We start from the raw sequence: 25,773 nt of genomic DNA on the forward strand, positions 1-25,773 counted from the left end.
CTTTGGACACACATTTACCGCATACCGACTCTCTGCAGGGCACCCTGAGGGTGACGGTGAATAAGGCACAGCCCTTGCCCTTGTGAGCACACAGACGGGGAGCAGACAGAGGCGGATTTCAGTGCTGAGAGGTGAGATACGAGGGGAAGAGAGGGCACCATGTGGGCACACACACCTTGGGAGCCAGGGGGGCTTCCTGGAGGAGGTGAATCAGGCATGCCACTCCCCGGCTCTCACTCTCCAGTGGTTTCCATCACAGTCAGTCAGAACAAAACCCGAACTCCTCACCGTGACCTCCAGTACCCCTGCCCACCTGATTTTTCTGCTGCAGCCACACAGCTTCCTTGCTCTTCCTGCCCGCCAAGCCCACGCCCAGGGCCTCTGCGCTCATCATCTGCTCTGCCCGAGTTCCCTTCTCCAGACACCTGCATGCCTCATGCTCTAATGCCATTCAGGTCTCTGCTCAAATGCCACTTCCACTGGCACCTGTATTCCTAGAAGCCTTTCCTGTTTACTCCTACAAAAAGCACCCCAACTTTTCTGCTCTCCTCTTCTGCCTTATTCCTGACAATACTTATTGCCGCTATGCGTCATCACATATTTATTTGTTCATCCTCCACTGCCACGTATGCTCATGGAGGCAGGATTTTGTCTGTTTTCATCACTGCCATTTTCTCCAAAACGCAGAAAAGCTCCTGGCAACCCCGTAAATAATAGGCACACAATAAATACTTGTTGAATAAATGGTATCAAAAGAATGAGGTAATATTTAAATGGACAGCCGAAGGACCAGCAAGTATTTGCCTGAAGACAGGAGGAGGGGGCATTTGAAGTAGATGAAACAGCACATGCAGCAGTCCCAGAATAATCTATACAACAGAATGAAACACAGCCTCATCTTCCACTATATACAGAAATCAACTCAAAATGGATTAAAGACTTAGAGGGAAGACCTGAGACGATGAAAGAACTGGAAGAAAACATTGGGGAAACACTACAGGACATTGGTCTGGATAAAGATTTTTTGGGTAAAATCTCAAAAGCACAGGCAACGAAAGCAGAAAGAGACAAATGGAATTACATCAAGTGAAAAAGCTTCTGCACAGCGAAGGAAACAATCAACAAAGCGAAAAGACAACCTACAGAATGGGAGAAAATATTTGCAAAGTATCCATCTGACAAGGGATTAACAACCAGAATAAATAAGGGACTCAAATAACTCAATAGCAAAAAACAAAAATAAAAAACAAAAACAAAAACAAAACCAACTCAATCTGATTAAGTAACAGGCAATAGAACTGAACAGGCATTTCTAAAAAGACGACATACAAACGGCCAACAGGTATAGGTAAAAATGCTCAACATCACTAATCATCAGGGACATGCAAATGACAATCACAATGTGATACGATCTCACCCCCGCTACTATTGAATGGCTAGTATCAAAAAGACAAAAACTAATGGATGCTGATGAGGCTACAGAGAAAGGGAAACACTTCTACACTGTTGGTAGGAATCTAAATTAGGAAAGGCACTATGGAGAATAGCATGGAGGGTCCTCAAAAAACTAAAAATTGAGCTACCATATGTTCCAGCAACCCCACTACTGCGTATATATACAAAAGAAAAGAAATCAGTATATCAAAGAGATATCTGCACTCCCATGTTTATTGCAGAATTATTCACAGCAGCCAAGACATGGAATCAAACTAAGTGTCCATCAATGGACGAATGGGTAAAGAAAATGTGGTATATATACACAACGGAATACTATTCAGCCATAAAAAGAATGAGATCCTGTCATTTGCAGCAACATGAATGAACTGAAGGTCATTATGTTGAGTGAAATAAGCCAGACACAGAAAGACAAATATTGTATGTTCTCATATGTGGAGGCTATAAAAAGTGGATCTCATGGAGATTGAGTAGAATGGTGGTTACCAGAGGCTGGAAAGTGAAGAAGGGAGAGTAGGGATGAAGAGAGATTGGTTAATAGGTACAAAAATATGGTTAAATAGAAGGAGTAAGTTCTAGTATTTGATAGCACAGTAGGGTGACTGTAGTTAACAACAATTTATTGTATATTTCAAAATAACTAGAAGAATTGTAATTTCTCAATACAAAAGAAAAATATTTGAGGAGATGGATATCTCAATTACTGATATGATCATTACATATTGTATACATGTGTCAAAATATCACATAGCAATAAAAAACAGTCCCAGAGGTAAGGGAAAATGGTCGTTGAGGGGTTGGGGTCAGTTTGCAGGGTGGGGAGCGGGAAGGCAGACAGCTAAGGGTGAGGAGGTGAGCAGGGACCCAGTCAGGCTAAGCCTTGAGACAAATCCTAAAATGGTTTCGTCCCTGTGCGTACAAATACAACGGGACACTCCTGGGGCGGGGCCGGGCTGTCCGCTCTCAGGAACGGCCCTCAGGTGGATCTACACCATGGCTGCCTCTTCCTTTGGTGTTTCCAGGTCTGCCTGCCCTGTCCTAGCTGCCTGCTCTTCTCAGAGCCTGAGGTTGTGGGAAGGCCTCTCCCATTTCTCTGGCACCATGAGCTTTGCAGCTGCCTTCTACCGTGCCTTGACTGTATCTCCATAAAGCTGTGGGGAGGACCTCACGTGTTCTTAGGGATCACTGAATATTTCTTACCAAGAAATGCCTGGGGCTGAAGGAACTAGAATACTAATGCCTGTCGAGGGGGACTGATCTTGAAGCACATAAATAACATCAGTATTATTCACTGTATATTTTCCTATTTCCCTTGAAGGCATCTGGATGAATATTCTATGAGCTCTTATGCCACCCAACCCTTTGTGCTCTTCTGGAAGAAGCCTGTGGGGACCAGGGTAAGGTCAGATAGAGGCACCTGCTGTGAACAGATTTATTCAGCCCACATGAGAATGAATACAATAGTCTAAGAGATAATCTCTAAAACATTCTGCAAATTCCTGGACACTTAGCAGCCTAATCAATCTCAAAGATATGCTTGTGAAATCCATCCACAGGCCCTCATTTTGTCATCCACAGATATTCACTGAACACCTGCTATGGGCCTGGTTCCGGTGGTGACAACACAGGTGGGGTCCCTGTGTGCATGAAACTTACATTTTTTTTTTTGAGACGGAGTCCTGCTCTGTCGCCCAGGCTGGAGTGCAGTGGCTCAATCTCTGCTCGCTGCAAGCTCCGCCTCCCGGGTGCAAGCCATTCTCCTGCCTCAGCCTCCCTAGTAGCTGGGACTACAGGCACCCACCACCACGCCCAGCTAACTTTTTTTTTTTTTTGTATTTTTAGTAGAGACGGGGTTTCACCGTGTTAGCCAGGAGAATCTCGATCTCCTGACCTCGTGATCTGCCCGCTTCGGACTCCCAAAGTGCTGGGATTACAGGCGTGAGCCACCGTGCCCGGCCCAAAACTTAGATTTTTGTGGAGGAAGATAGACAATAAGCCATCAGTAAAAAACCCTCAATTAATAAATGCTACACAGAATTAAAAGCAGATGACATGCTTGAAGGTGACTGGGTATCTATGTCAGATTGGGTGGTTAGGACATCCGCCTCTTCAAGTAGCCGAGACCTGAATGACAAGATGAAGTCAGCCATGCAGAAACCGGGGGAGGATATTCCAGGTGTGGGGAGCAGGTGGCATAAAGGCCTCAGGTAGGAGTGAGCATTACATAGTCAAGGAATGGGAAGAGCTGAGCATCACAGAGGACTGTGGTGGGAAACTGCATTCTGGGTACTTGGGGCAGAGGGTGCCATGACTGATCTCTGCTGTGTGGGGAGGGGAGTCTCAAGGAGCTATACTGCATAGGCCTGGGGCGAGGTGGCAGTGGCCCCGACTGGAAGAGAGATGGAGGAAGTGGGGAAGAGTGGACAGGATTGAGATATATTTTAGGGGTAGGGTGGATGGGATTTGCTCATGGGCTGGATACAGAGGTAAGGGGAAGACAGGGATCCAGGCTGACTTGTAGACTTTGGGCTTGAGTTGCATGGTGAGTGGCTGTGGGGTGGGGAAGTTGGTGAGAGAAGAGCTTTGAGGGGAAAATCAGGAATTGTGTCCTGGACATGCTAAGTTTCAGATGTCTGTGAAGCATCAAGGTGGAAATGTGAAAGAAGCTGGCCACGTGAGTCTGGAATTGGGGGGTGCCCAGGGCTGGAGATACAGAACTGGGAGCCAGTGTGTTGGGTTGGGTCAGTGCTGAATGGGAGGACCAGGGGCTCAGAGCGTGGCATCGGAAGAAAGACTTCAGAGGAGATACAGCTCCTGGGGATGGCTGGTAATGAGTGATGGACACAGGAGCGAATGGCCGGGGCTGGAGGGAAAGATCCCGAAAGTAAACTGTCAGGGAACTGTGAGACCAGATGCTGGAGGGGTCAATCCTGTGGATGTTGATGGTGCCAAGAAGGGTGACAGGGGTAGGCCCCCAAAAGAAGACTGAAAACAAGAACTGCATGTTCACAAAGGGAGGTGCCTCCCTGCAAATGTTAAAAATGCCTGCTGCTGTTCCCCATGACAGTGGAGGTGGGGGCTGGTGAGAAGGAGGAGAGACAGTTCCAGATGGAAGGATTCGGGGGCGTGAGAGCAATGCATTCTGGGGGAGTCCCAGGGTTTCTAGGATGCAATACGGCAGCCGGGGCAGAAACCAGATGGGAGGCTGGTTGGGAATCTTCCAGCTTTTGAATATTGCTACTACCAGAGGAGGCCGCTTTGAAGTCATGCAAGCCTGTTGGGACAGGATGTCTGCAGAGCCTGTGGGAGGGAAGGGGAAGAAATTCCTGGAGGAAGGCAGATGCTGAGAAGGAGGGGCTGCACCTTCTGAACAGGCACCATGCCGCAGGAAGCCTCAGCTGCGGGAGACAAAGCACGCAGGCCATGGCGCAGGCCTTGCATATAGCAGGGCAGCCTGTGCATCCAGCTTCCTCTAGCTGGGGACCGAGGACATCATCACTGTGTACCTCTGCAAACCTCTCTGGAGGCCAGGGGCTTGTAGGAGGCTTTGCCCTCTGATGGGATGGCAGCTGAAGCCCCAGGGAACACTGCTCCCAAGCTTTCCTGAATCTTTAGGTAAGATTCACCAAGAACAGCAGTACCTGCTGCTGAGACCCTTCATAGGGTTGCTGCAGGTGACTGAGAAAGTGGATTTCTCTGGAGGCTCCAGGTTGAGGGAGATGGTGCCCAAGACTTGGTGGGAACCAGGCAGAGGTGATGATGGACACATGCCAGGAGGAGGCCAAGGGAAAGGATGAAGAAGAGGCCCTGGGTTCTAATGGCACCCACACCACACAAGGGCCTGGTTAGCAGCCCCTTTTCCTCCTGTTCAAGGTTTTTTAGAACATCTGTATCGTTTCTACTTACCACGGACTTGCGAATGCTAACGCGGGGCTTGGGGATGGGTTTGGAGGGTTTGTTTTCAAAGCTTTCTGGAAGTGTGGAGGAGTGTCCCCCTTTTCTTGCTTGTAGTGCTAGCTGGTAAGCGACTTCGAATGCCTGTCCCAGGGTTAGGATGATTTCATAGGCTAAATTCTGCAAGAAAAATGAGAAAGCATTTGCTACTGGCACACTGCAAATTAGAATGGGTCGAATGGCTGAGGAACACTGAGGGAGGTGAACTAGGGAGGAACTTGAACTACTTCACCAGAGGCAGCAGCGATTCGGTGGAAATCTACAAAGAACAGGACACTCCGGGTCCAACTTAGGGTTTACACCAGGCTTTAGTCATTTGTGAAAAGAAAAATCTTGGGACCTCAAATCACTAAGACAAACGAAAAAGTCAGCTGGGAACTGTGTTGGGCAAACCTGCCTTGCATTCTATTCCTAAATAAGATAGCTACAAAGATAAAAAAGCTACATACCTCCCTCACAATTTGCCCAAAAGGAAATTTCCTGTGGACAAAAGACAGAGCTCAAAGTCATGCCTCTGCTCATGTGAGATAAATGCATATCAGATTGCTTCCCCTGTCCTGTTGTTTCCCTAAGCCAGACTAAGGCATAAGTGACTATTCCTGTAAATTGTGTATTCAGTGAAAGGCTGATCTTCAGAAACTCAAAATAATTCAACTGTTTGTCTCTTATCTACCTATGGCCTGGAAGCCCCCTTCCCATTTCTAGTTGTCCTGCCTTTCCAGACCAAACCAACGTACTTCTTACACATACTGATTGATGTCTCATGCCTCCCTAAAATGTATAAAGCCAAGCTGTGCCCTGACCACCTTGGGCACATGGTCTCAGGACCTCCCAAGGCTGTGTCACGGGTGCATTTTTTTTCTTTTTTTTTTTTAGATGGAGTCTCACTCTTGTCACCCAGGCTGGAGTGCAGTGGCACAATCTTGGCTCACTGCAACCTCCACCTCCCGGGTTCAAGCGATTCTCTTGCCTCAGCCTCCCGAGTAGCTGGGACTACAGGCACGTGCCACCACGCCCAGCTGATTTTTGTATTTTTAGTAGAGACGGGGTTTCACTATGTTGGCCAGGCTGGTCTCATATTCCTGACCTCATGATCCACCCGCCTCAGCCTCCCAAAGTGCTGGGATTGCAGGAGTGAGCCACCACGCCTGGTCCACGGGTGCATCTTTAAGCTTGGCAAAATAAATTGACTGAGACTTGTCTCAGATATTTTTGGTTTACACACTGATAGGGCACTCTTGCTTACAGATCCCCAGTTAGCCCCAGGAGGAGCAGGCCCCACAGCCCAGTGGCCCCAGGAGCCCACACCATTCAAAGCTCTCCCTGTGGGCAGTTGGTTTGTCCCCAAGGCCTTGGAAGGTAAGGGGTTACTACTGGTATTTCTGCTGAGTCCTGGGAGCACTTCAACCTTGCCTGTGAGGATGATCCCACACACTCCACAGGAGGTGTTCCTGAGAAGTTTGGGTCTTTTTACCTCAAACATCTGTGATTCAGTGAACATCTACGAAACACAATCAAAATCTAATTTAGGCCTAGAGGAGAGGCATTAGTCATGCTGGTGTGGCGGCTCACAGTCGCAGCAGTGAGCACGCAAACAGTGCTCCAACAGAGCCAATTCCCCAGCTATTTCTTGAGGCTTTTGCTCTCCCTGTGGGTCCACTCTATATTTTATCATGAAATCAGCAAGAGACAGGTGATTCTGTCAGGCTAGATGCCACGCCAAGCAGCGCCTGGGAGAAAAGTTCTTTTCTTCCGACCTTCAATCAGTCCTTTTCTCAAGATGATTTCTAGCTTTCTTCTCTTCTCCAAATGTGTATCTTTGATTTCTGCCTTTTCTTCCAAGCACAGCTTCCCCTTGTCTTCTCTCACTGAGAAACCATCACATTGTCTGACCCAAAAGAGGCAGGGTGGCCACCACACCCTGAGGTCACAGAGCATCAGAGAAGCAGATGCATACTGGTCACAGAGAGTGTTCTGAAGGTCACTGTAGCAGCTGAGAGCAGGCATGGTCTGCCCCAAGCTTTCTTTTTTCTTTTTTTTTTGAGACAGAGTTTTGCTCTTTTTGCCCAGGCTGGAGTGCAATGGCACAATCTCGGCTCACTGCCACCTCCACCTCTTGGGTTCAAGTAATTCTCCTGCCTCAGCCTCCCAAGTAGCTGAGATTACAGGCATGCACCACCATGCCCAGCTAATTTTGTATTTTTAGTAGAGATGGGGTTTCTCCATGTTGGTCAGGCTGAGCTTGAACTCCCCACATCAGGGGATCCACCCACCTCGGCCTCCAAAGTGCTGGGATTATAGGTGTAAGCCACCGTGCCTGACCATCCAAGTTTTCATTCTGATGAATGTCCCTAGAATGTCCACTCACGGTTTCTCAAAAATCACAGAAATGTCATTCTGCTGATGCTGATATTGCAACTAAGCTGGCCCTCTCTGTTCCTGCCCATCTCCACCCTCATCAAGCGCTCTGGGAGCCCGATTCCCACACTGCTGCTGGGGAGATGTGTTTGCGATTGTTCGCATTTGAAGATGATGGAGAGGAAGATGCAGGATGGTGCCTTCTGAGGCCATGGGAAAGAGGCCCAAGGGTTCTAGACCAACCAGATTCCAGATCCATGCCAGATCAATTGTGATGGTCTCAGAACCAAGTGGGGAAAATGCCTCTGAGCTTGAGAGTCGGTTTGAGAGAGGATGTGTCTGTCTCCTTTAAGTGAGTTGCTAGGAAATACTGACCCTACAAGACAGACATCTGCCTGCTGGAGATACTGCACCTTGCACAGCAAGCTGAGCACTTCCTTGCAACGAACACTGAGCCCATGTTTGCCTCCAGAGATGAGTCAGCCTAGTAAATTAGTAACGCACCAGCAAATGATAGTGGAGGAGGTCTGGGAGACAGCTCTGACCATCACTGCACAAAGAGGGCTGAGCTCTTTCCACTGCCTACACTTGGCACTCACGTCACTGTCAGCTTTGCCTCTTAGTGTTTGCGTGGGTCCCCTCTGAAAGGCAGGCAGGGCTTCCGACTTCTGTAGTCTCACAATGAAGACACAGGCTCTTGGTCTTGTTCATGCTACTGTGGAAGATGGCTGATTCCCATCTGTTGGGGACATGTACCAGATATTCCTGTTCTGGGTGGGAAACTAGACTAAGATGAAGGTGTGAGATTCAGTGATTCTGTAACATGTGGTCTTTATCTGCTGTAACAGTGGAACTTAATGAGTGTGAATTCCTTTACCATTAACCTAAAAACAAGTTACTGAAAGCGAGATCTACTTAAAGCTCCAGGATCTTCAAAGGAAAGTAAAAAGACCTTCATTTGAGCAAGTGAGGTTTTTCACATGATTATGGGAAGCCTAAAGGTTTTGGGAGAGAATGTGTTAGAAGTCCTGCCCTTTCATTTTTAATTAGTTCCTGGTATTAGGAAACTGCTCAAATAAGACACACAGACCAGACTGTTGGATTAAGTTTTCCTGCCTAATGGCTTCTTCTGGTTCCGCTTACATTTTCCTTGACTTCTTGCTTTGGTTTTATTTTAGAATGCTTTGTCAAGTTTCTTTTGTGATTATGTATAGTACAGGATTGGACACTGTTACCTTTCCTCTCTTGTCTGCAGCCCTCCTGTTTGTGGTACTGATGCTGGATGCCAGGAGGGCCCATGGGCACCGAGACACACCTTCCAAGTGCTGTGTTGCCCATCCCGACACACCAGGGCCCTTTCGGGGAAACAGATGCTCATCCCATGGGACCTCAGGACACATGTGTGAATGGGGAAAGAACCCCCATTTTTTTGTAGGTTCAATTCTCCTGCCTCTCCTATTAACATCCCTACCATCTGAAACGGGAGGAGAGTTGCTATCATGTACGAGGAGACTCTACCGGGATGAGGTTGAAAATTATATTGTAACATCAGAAGGCTTAGGTGAGAAGCCCATCTTGCAAACCTCAATGATGCTGGCTGGCTCTGAAGAGCCCATGGTGACACCCAGAAAATCTGAAAGCCCAACTGTCTCTGCCTTCAACATATTATCCCTGCAACTGTGGGGAGGCCAACGCCTGGTACTGGGTCTGGCACATTCCAGGTGCAGAAGAAATGCTTGCTTGCTTGCTGAATGAATGAATGAATATCCACAGGACTAACTGGAGTAATCGTAACATTTCTAGTTAATACTCAGTCTAGCTACCATTAAGGGAGAACTTAATAGGTGTGAGAGATGTGCCAAGCATTATCTTTGTTTCATTTAAGTCTTACCAAATCACATGCAGTAGCATATTATCCTCATTTTATAGATGAGGCAGTGGAGGCTCAGAGGGGTGAAATAACTTTCCAGACATCACAGAGACAGAAAGTTACAGAACTTGACATGACCCAATATCTGTGCTCAAAATCCCCCACTCTTGGCCCAACCCATGTGTCTACCCAGCTTGTCTCTAAGATGACTGCCATCAACTCTCCCCTCCCGTGCACACCATGGTGTTCCCCTGTTGAGAAGTCGAATCTGCTCTTTGAATCTGGACTGGTTTTACTGACTTGCTTGACCCATAGGATATAGCAGAAGCAACATGCTGAATTTGTGAGGTTGAATCATGAGGAGTCTTGCAGTTTCCTCCTGGGCCTCTAGGAACATTACTCTGGGGGAATTAGTCATGTAAAAAGTCTCACCATCCTGGCTGGATGCGGTGACTCACGCCTGTAATTCCAGCACTTTGGGAGGCTGATATTGTTTAGCTGTGTCCCCACCCAAATCTCATCTTGAATTCTAGCTCCCATAATTCCCACGTGTTGTGAGAGGGACCTGGTGGGAGGTAATTGAATCATGGGGGTGGGTCTTTCCCATGCTGTTCTTGTGATAGTGAATAAGTCTCACAAGATCTGATAGTTTTATAAATGGGAGTTCCCCTGTACATGCTCTCTTGCCTACTGCCACATAAGATGTGCCTTTGCTTCTTCTTTGTCTTCTGCCATAGGCCTCCCCAGCCATGTGGAACTGTGAGTCCATTAAACCTCTTTCCTTTATAAATTACCCAGTCTCGGGTATGTCTTTATTAGCAGTATTAGAACAGACTAATATAGAGGCTGAGGTGGGTGGATCACTTGAGGTCAGGAGTTCAAGACCAGTCTGGCCATTAGTGAAACCCCATCCCTACTAAAAATACAAAAAAAAAAAAAAAAAAAATTAGCCAGGCTTTGTGGCAGGCACCTGTAATCCCAGCTACTTGGGAGGCTGAGGCAGGAGAATTGCTTGAACCTGGGAGGCAGAGGTTGCAGTGAACCGAGGTTGTGTGACTGCACTCCAGCCTGGGTGACAGAGCGAGACTCCATCTATCTTTTTTTTTTTTTTTTTGAGATGGAGTCTTGCCCTTGTTGCCCAGGCTGGAGTACAATGGCGCGATCTTGGCTCACTGCAACCTGTGCCTCCTGGCTTCAAGGGATTCTCCTGCCTCAGCCTCCCGAGTGGCTGGGATTACAGGCGCCCACCACCACGCCTGGCTACTTTTTTGTATTTTTAGTAAAGACAAGATTTCACCATGTTGGCCAGGCTGGTCTTGAACTCCTGTCCTCAGGTGATCCATCCGCCTCGGCCTCCCAAAGTGCTGGGATTACAGGCATGAGCCACCGCACCCAGCTGAGACTCAATCTTAAAAAAAAAAGGAAAAAAAAAAAAGTTCTTGCTATCCTGAGATCATCATGCTATGAGAATGCCTGAGCTAGCCACAAGGAGAGGCTGCCTGGACAGGAACAACGGTTTCAGCCAGGCCAGCCCAGGCTCAAGATTTGGGAGTGAAGGGGTCTCAAAGACATTGGAGCTCCAGCAGACATCGCTTGGAGAAGACTCAAGACCCAGACAGATGGCTCCAGTCGGGCTGCCCCAGCATCTCCAGCCATTGCAGGCACTCTGGCTGAGGCCCCAGATGTTGTTGAGCAGGACTGCCACGCCCAGCCCAGATCCCTGACTTACAGAATTGTGAACATAATAAATGGATGTTGTTTTATATTTTGGGGTGGTTTATTACGCAGCAAGAGATAACTGGAACACCATGCGATGCTGCAGAAGGCTGGTTGGACCCTCATTCAGACAACAGGAAGATGACCCATGAGCCCAGGAGCTGTGATGAATGCTGCTTAGCCAGGAGGCCAATCCTGGAGCCACCCGGTCCCCTGGCTGCCCTGGCTGTGGGGAAGCTCACTGATCACAGTGAGCACTAAGGTGTCCCATCCCATCTGCTGGCTCAAACCACTGTGCTGCAGTGAAGTCAGCAAAATCATGCTCTCATCTCCAGTTACTACCTCCCTTGGGCATAAATTCAAACTCATTTAGTTTTACTTTTATTACCTCACGTCTCTCGAATGCTGTAACCTGGCCTGTCTCCGACCTTGGCTCTTCCTGTCTCATATAAGCTCATTGGAAGATACTTGCTTTGGTCTTTCTAGCATAAGTCTTTTGAGACACATTTATTACGGCGATTGGTCTGGAGTATTGTCTACCTTACAGAGACCACCAGTGAAAGAGAGCTGCATGTGTGTGCATGTGTGCACGTGTGTGTGTGTGTGTGTGTGCACACGGGGTGCAGGTGTGAGGGTTGATTACTGAAAACAGCATACTCTGAGCCTTGGTTTTCTCATCTTAAAATGGGGATAATACCATACGCAGTACCCCCTAACTGGATTGTTCTGATAATGGCTAATAATATTATTTAACCAAATGGCAATACCGGCTAGCATTTATTATTTACTATGTGGCCATGCACCATGCTAAGTGCTTCAACATGGGCTCTTTAATTCAATCCTAACCGTATCTGTATGCCGTAGGTCTATTACTTCCATTTTGCACATGAGATAATTACGCTCAGAAAGGTTAAATAACTTGCTCATGAAGTCAGCACCCAGACAAACTGGGATTTGAATCCAGTTGTTCTTTCTGAGAGGCTATACTCTTCTTGACCATTACACCTTAAAACTATACATAAGATAAAATAAAAAAAATTCTGTAATCTGTTTTAAAAAGTTTAAAAAACATGTGAGCCAATTGAGCTTCCAAGTGACTGACCCATCTTGGCTGTGGTGAGGTCACCTACTGGCCCATTGCCTGGGTCTCATGCCCAGTCTGGCTGAGAGGCAGCCTCCAGGCCGGGGGTGTACTTCGTGACTCCACAGAGACCATCAACACAGGAATTCTTCATCTTTGGCTTCCCCAAGGGTGAGGTAAAAGATACGAGGCAACTCCCATCCTCAGTAGTGGCTATTTAGGAAGAAGGGTAGGGAGTCCCAGTCCAATGGGGAAAAACCTCCTGGAAAGCACAGGAATTCCCCTCTTCCCTTCCCTTCTCTTCTCTTCTTCCCCAGGGATTTTTCTTTTTTCTTTTCTTTTCTTTTCCTTCCTTTTTTTTTTTTTTTTTTGAGATAGGGTCTCACTCTCTTACCTAGGCTGGAGTGCAGTGGTGTGATCTCAGCTTACTGCCATCTCCACCTCCCGGGTTCAAGTGATTCTCCTGCCTCAGCCTCCTGAGTGGCTGGGATTATAGGCGTGCACGCCTGGCTAATTTTTTTTTTTTTTTTTATGGCAGAGATGGGGTTTCACTGTGTTGGCCAGGCTGGTCTCGAGCTCCTGGCCTCAAGTGATCCTCCTGCCTGGGCCTCCCAAAGTGCTAGAATTATAGGCATGAACCACTGTGCCCGGCCTGGGATTTTGATCTGCGAATTAAGAACTGCTACATTAGAGGAGCTTAAGGAACCACTGTATCATAAAGATAAATCCTAAGGCAATCAAGGGATGCAAACTCACTTTTCTTGTGCAAGCTGAAGATATGCAGGTCAGCTTATATTTACTGTGGTTTCTTCAAGGCAATCATGGATATTGAACATCACCACAGATATTTACCAAGCTCCTTCCAAGTGTTAAGGGCTGTGTCCCTGGTGCCAGTCCCATGCCTAGCCTATAGACAATGTCCAGGAAGTGATCACTGAATGACATGGGGGAGTAAAAGTGTCCATCAAGACTCTCATTACATCCAGAGGAGGCTCATGGAGAGACAAAGAGATCTTCCTCGCTGTCCTCCCGCATCCTTGTCCCCGAGGCTATACGCAGCATATTCATCGGTCTAGTATGAGAAAAATTGCATCATAGATGGTGGGCAATCTGTCCCCTAGAAAAAGCTCTAGCCACCAAGGTAATTAATTTATTTTAACTGGTACATCACTAAGATTTTTGTTTCTTAGTTTGAAAATCTCTTAGGCACAAGGGTTCACTGATACATGTGCAAAAATATTCATTAAAGTGTTTAAATTTTTCATTATTAGAGGACTGATTAAGTAGAATACTAGGTAGCCATTTAACATGAAAACTGGAGGCGGGTGGATTGCCTGAGCTCAGGAGTTCAAGACCACCCCGGGCAACATGGTGAAACGCTGTCTCTACTAAAATACAAAAAATTAGCTGGGCGTGGTGGTGCACATCTGTAATCCCAGCTACTCGGGGGGCTGAGGCAGGAGACTCGCTTGAGCCCAGGAGGTGAAGATTGCAATGAGCCGAGGTCGCACCACTGCATTCCAGCCTGGGTGACAGAGTGAGACTCCGTCTAAAAATAAATAAATAAAATAAATAAATCAATAATGGGTTAAAAGACTACGTAAAAATATATGTATACATATACACATAGATAGGATCTGTATATATGCATAGAAAATAGCAATATGGATCAAATGTGAATAGTAGTTATCACTGCGTATTGAGACTGGATGATTTCTATTTTTGTATTTTGGAACTTTATTTAAATGAGGATTAATGATGTTTACAGTCATAAAATAATCTTTCCATTTTGATAATTAAAAACAAGAGAAAGTCTTTTGCGTTTAAAATAGTCTTATTCTTGCTTTTTTTTTTTGAGACAGGGTCTTGCTCTGTTGTCCAGGCTGGAGTGCAGTGGCACAGTCATGGCTCACAGAAAGCTTGACCTCCCAGGCTCACATGATCCTCTCACCTCAGCCTCTGGAGTAGCTGGGACCACAGGTAATGTGTCATCACACCTGGCTGATTTTTGTATGTTTTTTAGAGACAGGGTTTCAACATGTTGCCCAGGATGGATCTTATTCTTTCTGCATCACCTTGGGGTTCTGAGGGTCTCTTCATTCTCTGGCTGAGAGGGCTGGGAACTACTTTCCAGCAAAATCTGGAACCTCTCTGCAGGTGCTGTCATGGCTCACCTCTATGTGCCAGGAAGCTGCCCATTCATTTGGCAAAGAATCTTGTTTAGGCTCTTCAGTTTTCATACTGGATGCCAATTCTAACATCTTCTCAGTGAGACTTTGAAGTATCAAGCTCTTCCTTTAAGCTGCAACCCTAATACTTCTACTCCAAGTGCGGAATTGACCCTTTAATGGTCCAACTTCTGCCAAGCCCAAGTGAAAAATGTTGTTACGTGGATATTAACTTATAGACATGCAGTCAATCCGCTCTTGTAGCTGTGCAAAGTTTGATCTCTGCACGAAGTCAAACTGCCTATGAACTTGAACTGTATTTTATTTCCTTTCATAATGATGATAAAGCAGTGGCAGCAGCAACTACACATGATATTGCCTACTACATCCTAGGGACGAGGCTAAGTGCCTTCTGTGGATTGTCTACCCCTTACAACACCTTACAGAGGAGGAATGACCATCCTCATTTTACGTGTGAGAAACTAAGGATCAGCGAAATTGACAACTTGGCCAAGTTCATACAGCAGAGCCAGGATTCAAGTGCAGATCTGACTTCAGATTAGCCAGTGTTTCATGCCACTGGGCTATCCTACCTTCATTGCTCTCATGAATGTGCTGGTCTTCTGTGCCTATTTCATTGAGGCACCCTCTAGAACACCATCTTGTGTTTTGGAGATTCACTGTACAAATGTTGGTGAAGACATTATTACACAGTATCCCCTCATGGGGGCCTAGGACAGAAAGTTCCTTCATACTTAAGTCTTATTAAAATACTATTTTCGGAAGGGAAGGGGTATACTTTTCTTTCAAAGAAATATGCAGCATAAAATTACTGCATTTCCCTTTTTGCCTTGACCTCCAGGAAGCTCAGAGCTAAAAGCTCAGAGCTAGAGAGAGCCCAGCTCCCATACCTTTCCACAACTCCATGGTCTGTATATTGATGCTACAACTTTTCCCTTGATATGGAGCTTCCTTTTAGCCTATATTTTCCCTAATTCAGATTTGTGTGTATGTATATATATATTTTCAGACTACTATACCTATTCATGTAGGCTGTCTTCAATCCGTTATGGAATGAGGCATGGTAGAAACACTGTCCATTTGTTCACTTAGATATTTATTCCAGGACTTACTTTGTTGAATGCATTGCTGCCCAAATGGCTGACAAGGTATGTCAGGCATAAAGCTTCATCTCATCTGGCGAATATGACGAAGGAGTAAGGAATCTGAGGAGGAGGCCATCCAGGGAGGAAAGGCCCTCCTGACCCAGGCTGGGAGGCTGCTCTTTCTGAGTGGACCATTTTGACCTGCCTTGCAGTGCTTTGCATTACCATTAGAAACACAATGGCCACATTTTCATGACTGGAATGGAATGAACAAATGTATTCATTCCATAGCATCAGAGAGCTGCAGGCCCAGACAGGGGTCAGCAGAAGCTCACCCACACCATGAAGAGGGCACAGATGCAGACACGTTCAAGGGAAGGGCTGTGTCTGTATGTGGGAGTCCAGGGCAGAAAAGCTTGGGTGTCATAAAGTACCTTGAGATGTCTGATTGAAAAGTGTCTATCAGTGAATAGAGGCCATAAACAGAGTCCCTGGATCACCTGCATAGGCCAGCTCCACCATGGGCTACCTACCTACAGCACCTATTGCCACTGAGAAGTGGGTGTGGTCCAGGTGACCTATTGGTCCCTTTCCACCCTGGGAGTTTCAGGATTCTCTGATTAGAAGGGGCTATCTTTTACCCAGTCAACTACAGATTCAGTTTAGAGATGCACGCACAGTTGATGCTGTGCTAAACAGTGGCATGTTACCCAGAGGCCAGACTGCAGGGCTCCATAACCCACCAGCTAGAGCTCAGAGAGGCAGTCACCACCAACGGGCTGCCCTTCATCTCAGAAAACACCTTCATTCCAGCAATCACCCCTAAATGCTATTCCAAATGGCCAAGCATTTCATCTATTACAAAATGGATTTGTTCTTGGCAATACATGCGTTTGCCATCTCCCACCTTTGCCTGGTGAGTTACTGCTTATCCTTGAAGACTCACCTCGGGCATCATATCTCCAGAAGCCTTCTTTGAATCTCCTTTCCTGTCCTCCCAACCCTGGCTAAGTTAGGTGCCCCTCCTCTGCGGTGCCACAATACCTTGGGCACAGCCCTACTTACCACGTGGTATTTATTATGATTTTCTCCTTATAGGGCTGATTCCCCCAGTTGACTGAGCTCCTTGAGGGCTCTGGTCTCACTGGGCTTTGCATCTCTAGGGCTTAGAATAGGTCAGGTGCTCAAGAAATGTTTGTTGGCTAAACACAAAAAGGAAGTTGCCTGGTAGGTCCCTAAGATAAGGGAACTTGCACCTTAAGGTTAAGAAAAGGGGGAATATGGATGGCCAGAGCCAATTCCTTCCTTCTGTCTTCTCTCCCACAGGCAGACCTGAAGAACAAAAGCTAGACAAGTGCAGATAATGCCACAGGGGGCCTGAAGACACAAGAAGGTTTTTTTCAATCTGGGTTCTCAGTGGGGTCTCCAGAAAGAAGCGACATTTCTTTTTAGGCTATATTTTGCTTGTACTTGTTTTTTTAAGACCTGGGGTAAGCCTGGTCTACAACTTGCTTCACCCACGTCCGGAGGCAAAAATAACTTCGAGAATATTCTGGGCATATTCACAGACTTCATTGACATCTCTTTAGCTCTACCTATAGTTAGTTCTCTCAAGTACCAGCCAGAAATTAGTCTTCATAGATTGTACAGAAATAAATAGTGCCCAATCATAGCCTTCAGCATTTAGAAACAAATATTAGCAATTCTGCTAAGATGTCTATCTGGGGCAAGATGACAAATCAACTGGCCAAAATGCAGGTAGCTTCTTTAGGGCTAATTTTGGCTAACTAAAAGAGCCACGAGATTCCTTTATCTCCCTAATTATAACAGGGGCAGATGTAGAAAATTTTGAAAATACTAAGAATAAAGGAAAAAATAAAATTCAGCTGTGAAATTCCACTGTTGGGATATGGCTACTGCTAACATCTTGGTGCATTTTCTTTTTATATTTGTATATACACCCAAATACTTTCATTTCCTATATGAATATTTAAATATGAATTTAAAAACTAGAATACTTTATGAGTCTAAAATCATAACATATTTTATGTGCAGTCTCATAAGTTCCTTTTTTGCGCAACATTATCTCATAGTTGGTCTTCGCATGCCATTACACGTTCTTCAAAAACCAGATTTTTAAAGGGGGTGAGCGTTCCACTGTATCTGCTGAGGTTTAACTTTATGCCTCACCCCAAGTATAGGAGGTTGGGCCTTACTTTGTTAAACCACAACTTGCTTTCTTATATTAATAGCATTCCAGGTTCCCTGTGGATGTCATGCACTGCAGCCCAACACACTGGTCACCTGTCTTCATGGAACCACAGCCTAAGGTGGCTGGCCAGCAGCCCTGTCACACCCATCCAGAGGGACTGGCCTGCCTGGGAGGAAGAAACATGCAATCTTTATCCTGTAACTTGGCCAGGGTTTGTGCAAAGGTGGTACAGGAGGAAGAAATGCCAGATTTCAACCTCTCCCCTGCTCCTCAAAAGAAAAAGCTCCAGTGGAAGCTGTAGGGAACTCTTCACTAACTTTTTGTTTTTTTCAAGACAGGGTCTCACTGTGTTACCCAGGCTGGAGTGCAGTGGCACGATCTCAGCTCACTGCAACCTTCGCCTCCTGGGTTCAAGCAATTCTCCAGCCTCAGTCTCCTGAGTAGCTGGGATTACAGGTGCCTGCCACCGTGCCTGGCTAATTTTTTGCATTTTTAGTAGAGATAGGGTTTCACCATGTTGGCCAGGCTGGTCACAAACTCCCAACCTCAAGTGATCCGCCCGCCTCAGCCTCCTAAAGTGCTGGGATTACAGGCGTGAGCCACCGCGCCTGGCTTCTTCACTAACTTGTGAGGCATTGGACATGGGTCACTCACCAGATTCAAACCTTTTAAATTTGAACCCTTGTTGTTTAAATCTTTCTCAAATGGATATGCCTGTTTCCTTGGTTTAGTCAGCACAGCAAATATAAATGGCTTTTCCTTTACTTATTGCAGATGCCTACCTGATACCCTGAGTTCACTATTCTAAATTGAATTAATGAGTTGCCGTGCCTCCAAACCGACCACGTGTTCACTCACACAGACTAAGTGTTCAGCTTCCAACCTGCGCGTCCCTCCTCTTGGAGAGCCCACCCTGCTGGCTGCTGGTGCAGTGCCCGGGTGGCATGGATCTGATTCTGTTGTAACTATTTGCTTGTGTCCCTTCATCTCCTGCTGGACCATGAGCTCCTGGAGAGCAGGGATGTGTGTCTAATGCATGGCAGGCACTCTATCAATACAGGAATGCATTTTATGTGGAATCTGACTTTTTTCCTCAGATGTGGAAGCACGCAGCAACAAACATATGTCGTGAATCAAAAACCGGGACATAAAGCCTCACACAGGGTCTGACAAGAATATAAGCATCACTATTAACTGCTTCTGCTATTCTCTGTGTCCTCGGCAGCTAAGAGTTATTGAATACCATGTGCTGGAAATGCGTATGTGTCACCTTGTTTAATCCTTGCAATCACCATAGGAGGTGTCCTATTATAATCTCTATTTTACAGATTAGGAAACTGAAGACTAGAGGCATTCTTTTTTATTTTTTGAGTCAGAGTCTTGCTCAGTCACCCAGGCTGGAGTGCAGTGGCACCATCTTGGCTCACTGCAACCTCTGCCTCCTGGTTCAAGTGATTCTCATGCCTCAGCCTCCCAAGTAGCTGGGATTACAGGTGTGTACCACCACGCCTGGCTAATTTTTGTATTTTTAGTAGAGATGGGGTTTCACCATGCTGGTCTGGCCAGTCTTGAACTCCTGAGCTCAGGAGATCCACCTGCCTCAGCATCCCAAAGTGCTGAGATTACAGGTGTAAGCCACTGCACCTGGCCTTTATTTTTCTGAGACAGAGTCTCATCCTGTCACCCAGGCTAGAGTGCAGTGGTGCGATCTCTGCTCACTGTACTCACTGTAACCTCCGCCTCCCAGGTTCGAGTGATTCTCCTGTCTCAGCCTTAGGTTCAAGCAGTTCTCCTGCCTCAGCCTCCCAAGTAGCTGGGATTACAGGTGTGCACCACCATGCCAGGCTAATTTTTGTATCTTTAGTAGAGACAGGGTTTTACCATGTTGGCCAGGCTAGTCTGGGACTCTTGACCTTAGGTGATCCGCCTGCCTTGGTTTCCCAAATGCTGGGATTACAGGCATGAGCCATCGTGCCTGGCCCATGGCATTCTCGCCCAAACTATGAAGCTAAGAGTGCAGATCTGGGATTCAAAACCAGACTGATTCTAAAGGCCACCCCCTGATCATGACACTTGACTGCCAGTTATTTAGAAGTGGGGGGTGCAACAAATACATGCATAAATGCTGCAAAGCAATCTGTGAAAACAATTTCAGAATGTCTGGTTTCTAACTTCACAAAAAATGGGATTAATTTAAGGCACTGAAAACTTTGTCTCCCCACCCCCAAAATAGGGATGAGAAGATCTCTGAATATCCAACCACCTTTGTCTTTGTGGCCTGGTTAGTTCTCAGTGATTTATGCCAATGGAGAGGAGATCTGGATAAATGAAACCCAGCACTGTTAATTTATCTATTCTTTTTTGGGAGGTGGTGGTGTTAGTGTAGAAGGACCATTGGAATGCGATGCTGTCTTTTTTATTCCATCAGGGCCATTTGCTCCTCTTAGGAGCTGCGTCCTTCCTGCAGCTGACTTGCTGGTGAGTTTCAGCTGGCTGGACAGGGCCAGGGAACGGCTTCTCTTTTACCTGTAGGTTGCCACTTTGTATGCAGAAGAGTAACCAGGGAAAGTGTTCGAGTTCAATTTTTAAGGGCTCTATGCATTGTGACATTTTCTTATATTGCCATTTCTTTTCACAGTATCACAGTCAAATAGGTTGAAGTCTATTTTCAGGTGGAGAAAATGAGAAACAGAATGAGAGAGATCACCCGCCTCCATGATATTAATTCAATTGTCAGAGGTGAACTAACATCAATAATAGCAAGAGTTCTTTTGCATCTTTAAGTTCTCACTTTGTGGGACAATCTCTGCAACATAAGCCATAAATATTTTTCTTCAGGGACCTCAAACTACTCCATGGAAGTAATCTCGGCATTTAAAAAAGCACTCAAGAATTTAAATTTTTCTTTCCTTTTTTTTTGAGACAGAGTCTTGTTCTGTTGCCTAGGCTGGAGTGCAGTGGTGCAATCACAGCTCAGTGTCTCCTAGGCCCAAGAGATCCTCCCACCTCAGCCTCCCGAGTAGCTGGCACTACATGTGTGTGCCACCATGCCTGGCTATTATTTATTAATTTTTTTTTTTTTTTTTGCAGACATGGGGTTGCCCTATGTTGCCCAGGCTGGTCTTGAACTCCTGGAGTCAAGTGATCCTCCTGCCTCAGCCTCCCAAAGTGCTGGGGATTACAGGCATGAGCTACTGTGCCCAGCCAGGAATTTAAATTTTATTAAACTGATGAGAAAACCAACAAGCAAACTCATAGCAGAGCCAAAGTTGGAAGTGGTGTAGGTATCACTGATCACGACCACGTGGTTGATGCTAGTGTTTTTCTTGCCCCACACTTTGGCTGGCTTTGTGCATATGGATGGGAGAGTACTACAGAAGGTGATCACACAGTCGGATGACCATGTTTTCCTGCGTTTTGTCACTTCTGTTTCTCCAGCTTAGATCCTCACATGGCCCACATTCAGCCAAGAAAGCACAGGGAAGAGGGAGCTCCGTCTCCCACACGTCCCACCCACCCTGCACCACGTCTTCAACATTCTCTACGCACTCCTGAGACCGTCTCAGCCTCGCCATGTGCTGCACACCGAGGAGCACAGGATTTGGGAGTTGCAAGTGAAAAATGAGCATGGTTAAAAATATCAAAGACTGCAAACATATTCTTTTCAGAGGAGTGAGAATTAGCAAGGGTCTGGCAGCAAAGCCATGGCTTTTAATGCTATTAAAAAGGAAGAACACCTTTTAACATTTAAAACTATTGAATGAGGCTCTTCTCAGATATTTGATACAAATCTGATACTCCCATGGAGAATGCATCAAAATCTTTCTATGTTGACTTACATCAACTCTCTATTACTGAGAAATCTAGAGTAACTAAGCAAATAAAATACAGAAGACAACAGTTTTGAAATTACCTTGGTTGTCTCTCTCTCTCACCTATAGTGGCCTTTTGAGGACGATCACTTCAGCCTCGGGATCTGGTGGCCACTGAAATACCCATTCCCTCTCTGGCAGTCCCATTTGTGTAGAATTCTCTCCACTCATTTAAGAGCAGAGGAGAGAAAAGCTGAGTCCATTTTTAACTCTCACAACTCCTAGTCTCATAACACATCCTTCTTTTCTGCTCACCCTACAGTTCCCTCTTCCCCAAGTTCTCACTGCCCAGAAGGTGGAGTTTGGGGAAGCTTTTGTTCTACAGTGGGTGAGATGTGTTTCAGGCCTAGCAAGTTAGGGATATGATTAGAAATCAGCTATGACAACAACGAGAGCATAGACTCCAGAATACAGAGCAGGCTTGGTGCTTGCTTGTGTGTATATATTGGCTTTTTTCTTGACAACCCTAATTCTGTTTTGCTCTAGTCTTTTTATTTTCATCTCCCCATCATTTAAAACTGAAAATATCACAAGCTGAATTTATGGTAGATTCCAAGCAACAAAAGCAGGCTTAGAGATCATCAAATGTAACATTTTCCAAAATGTGTTCTGCAGAAGGCCACCCCTGTGGGGTGCTCTCTAAAAAAAAAAAAAAAAAAAAAAAAAAGGCCGGGCACGGTGGCTCATGCCTGTAATCCCAGCACTTTGGGAGGCCGAGGCGGGCGGATCACAAGGTCGGGAGATCGGGACCATCTTGGCTAACATGGTGAAACCCGGTCTCTACTAAAAATACAAAAAATTAGCCGGGCGTGCTGGCGGGTGCCTGTAGTCCCAGCTGCTCAGGAGGCTGAGGCAGGAGAATGGCGTGAACCCGGGAGGCGGAGCTTGCAGTGAGCAGAGATCGTGCCACTGCACTCCAGCTTGGGCGACAGAGCGAGACTCCATCTCAAAAAAAAAAAAAAAAAAATGGCTACCATGGCCAAATAAGCTTAAGAAGCCCCGCACACTCCACCCCCGCCTCACATCTGAGCACATTCAGGGCCCTGCAGAGTCCCATAGTACGTAAACTATGTTAAGCTCACATCCTAGCTTCTGTAGGGGGGGCTCCAGGCCTCCTTTCTCGGACTACAATTTCTATGAGAAAATGCTCTGAACTTCAAATCTAACTGTCCATAAACTGGAAACTTCCTAGACATCACTGAATTTTCTTGATGATATCAGATAAAAACATGGGATATGTGATAACAGTACATAAAAACATGTGACCCATAAAAGGTCTTTAAGGTCCAAAAAGCAGTAACTTCACAATTAAAAATGTATACATACTTATTTAGCTAAAAGGTTAAATGTGTATTTGAGGTATTATAGGGTCTTCTTTACTTTTTTTTTTTTTTTTTTTTTTTTTTTTTGCCATTTGGGGCAGCCCAGGGGACTGATTCATATCAAAAGAATTTTAAGCCTTCAAGACTGGACTGGTATTGAACTGCCCTACATAAGGATACAAAATCCATGCTCAAAGAAGCTTTTTTTAGTGCAAGTGAAGCTTGTTGCATCTCAGAATTGCTCAAAGTCCCAGGTCAAGGGTGGTGGCCTTTGTTACTAATTTTGAGGTTTGACAAACTGTTCACCTGGAGAAGATTAAAATGGAGGATCTGTGTAAGATGAAAGTCCTTTGGAGCTGGTATGAGAATCCTAAGCTAGTAATGTTTACATTAAATCAAACATCTGGATGAAAAGATAAATGTTAAGGCAATTCTCTACATGTTTTTCTAAGTGTATCAGGGATATAACGTTCATCATAAAACTAAACAGTTGACTATTTCTTCCCCCAACATTTCACCTCAGTATTCTGGTGATATATATATATCACACACACGTATAGCTAATAAACTCAAGGGGGCAGATAGTCCACAGAAACCAGTTTTAGTTTCATGTGGAAAAATACTTTAGATACTCTGATGAAGGCAAATTATATATTACCTTAAAAACCAATTTTATTGAAAGAAATGCTGCAATACTTAGGAAAAAGGTGGCGTTCATCCTGAAAAGTATCAGAATATTCATGTTGATGTTCAATGCAAACACGGTCTAGAGGCAGCAAGCTCTGTGGAGTCAATGTTTTCTTTCTGCTATTTCTATTTTAATGTTTATTTATTGCTTTCACTTTTTCAATCCTTTCGTAATGGCAGTAGGAAAACTTTGGAAGATAAATACACATCTGACAAACCTATCTTATGTCTTTTAGCAGAAAAAGGGTCAGGCTGTTAACTGACGTCAGCAGGCAGGGAGAGGGAGGAGGTGAAGGAACAAATGCTGAACACCTGTTATTTATGAAGCACTCTACATATGTTCTTTCATTTCACTCCTGGTGAAAACCTGCAAGGTAGAAACTCTTGTCTCTGTTCTCTAGCTATGAAAATTAGGACTGGGAAAAGTCCAGCAACTTCTCTAAGACCAGAGAGTAGAGAGATAGCTGATTTGGGATGTGAACTTTGGTATTCCGTTCTTTCTATGACATCAATCCAACCCCTATAGAGAAAGGTATTTCACATAAACCAAAATAGATGTGAACAGGATGAAATTTGACTGTATAAAGAAACAATCAAATTTTACAAGAATTGCAAGTTATGTTTAAGGCACCAGAAACCTAACACTGCACATCCTTGTAAACCCTGAATGAAATGGCTTTAATCAACACTTTAATCCCGTGCAAACAAACGCTTCCTGAGATATTTAGAGCAGTCTCGCAGGGCTTTGCTTTGCAGTCTTTACTGTTACCACAGACTACTTTTATATCACTCTCCTCAAGCCTCCCCAAATGGAAGGGTTTGTTTTTTTTTTTAAAGGCCCATGATCATTCTTTCCCATTTTCAATCTTTCTTTAAAAACCAAAAGGGGTGAGGAACATGTAGCATGATACAAATGCTCTGAGCATGAACTGCCTGACTCACGGACCTTAAGCTGGTATAGATTTTGGATTACAGTTGGCCTTGGCCTATAGGTGTTCATCAGAACTGGAAAACATTGCTTCAGGCAGTCTTCTACCCATGACATTGAACTGGGGGCTGGCCTCTCACGAATATATGAATACGTGATTCCTGATTCTTTAAATATGTATATTTCAAACCCAGTGAGCAGAGCAGAATCATCAAACTTAAGTGGCATTTTCAAATTCTTCTGATTATAAATTATTAATATACTATATCAGAGATATCCTCAAGCAATTTGTACCACCTTGAGGGCATATCAATCTTAAAGAAACATTTGTTATTTCCTTTAATTGTTTCCATTTTCCAAGTTTGTAATATATGAGCTAGTCTTTTAGGTTTAATGACAAGTATGGCTATAAATGGAAGTGGTGTAATCCCATAAGGATGTCATTACAAGACCAACTTTTTTTTTGAGTGACGGTTTCACTCTGTAGTCCAGGCTGGAATGCAGTGGCACGATCATAGCTCAGTGAAGCCTCAGTGTCCTGGGCTCAAGGGATTCTCTCATCAGCCTCCTGAGCAACTGGGACTACAGGTGTACACCACCATGTCTGGCTAATTTTTTTTTTTTTTTTTAATAGGGACAAAGTCTCACTATGTTGCACAGGCTGGTCTTGAACTCCTGAACTCAAGTGGTCCTCTCAACTTGGCATCCCAAAGTACTGGGATTATAGGTATGAGCTGTGCCTGGCCAAGAGTAACTTTTTTTAAAAATTGAGACAGGGTCTCACTCTGTCACCTGGGCTAGATGGCAGTGGTGTGATCACAGCTTACTGCAGCCTCGACCTCCCAGGCTCAGGTAATCCTCCCACCTCACCCTCTCAGGTAGCTGGGACTACAGGCATGTGCTATCACACCCAGCTAATTTTTGTTTGTTTGTTTTTGTAGAGATGGGGTTTCATCATGTTTCTCAGGCTCATCTTCAACTCCTGAGCTCAAGTGATCTGCCCACCTCGGCCTCCAAAAGTGCTGGGATTTCAGGTGTGAGCCA

The 25,773-nt window shown here is 45.4% G+C and overlaps 1 protein-coding gene across 73 annotated transcripts in view; it reads right to left on the reverse strand.

Moving 5' to 3' along the window:
* The window catches only part of ANKS1B (ankyrin repeat and sterile alpha motif domain containing 1B), a 1,250,151-nt gene that overhangs the window by 11,208 nt on the left and 1,213,170 nt on the right, over positions 1–25,773 (reverse strand). For 71 of the 73 annotated variants that reach the window (XM_006719514.5, XM_006719507.5, NM_020140.4 and 68 more), the window contains one exon: positions 5,362–5,529. In XM_006719514.5, the coding sequence (XP_006719577.1) occupies positions 5,362–5,529 (168 nt within the window). Of the gene's footprint in view, positions 1–1,650; positions 4,756–5,361; positions 5,530–25,773 lie in introns of those variants that run through there. The other 2 variants (XM_006719510.5, XM_006719508.5) reach the window with 1 other exon arrangement.

The sequence above is a fragment of the Homo sapiens genome, chromosome 12 (assembly GCF_000001405.40).
Source record: "Homo sapiens chromosome 12, GRCh38.p14 Primary Assembly".
NCBI lineage: Eukaryota > Metazoa > Chordata > Mammalia > Primates > Hominidae > Homo > Homo sapiens.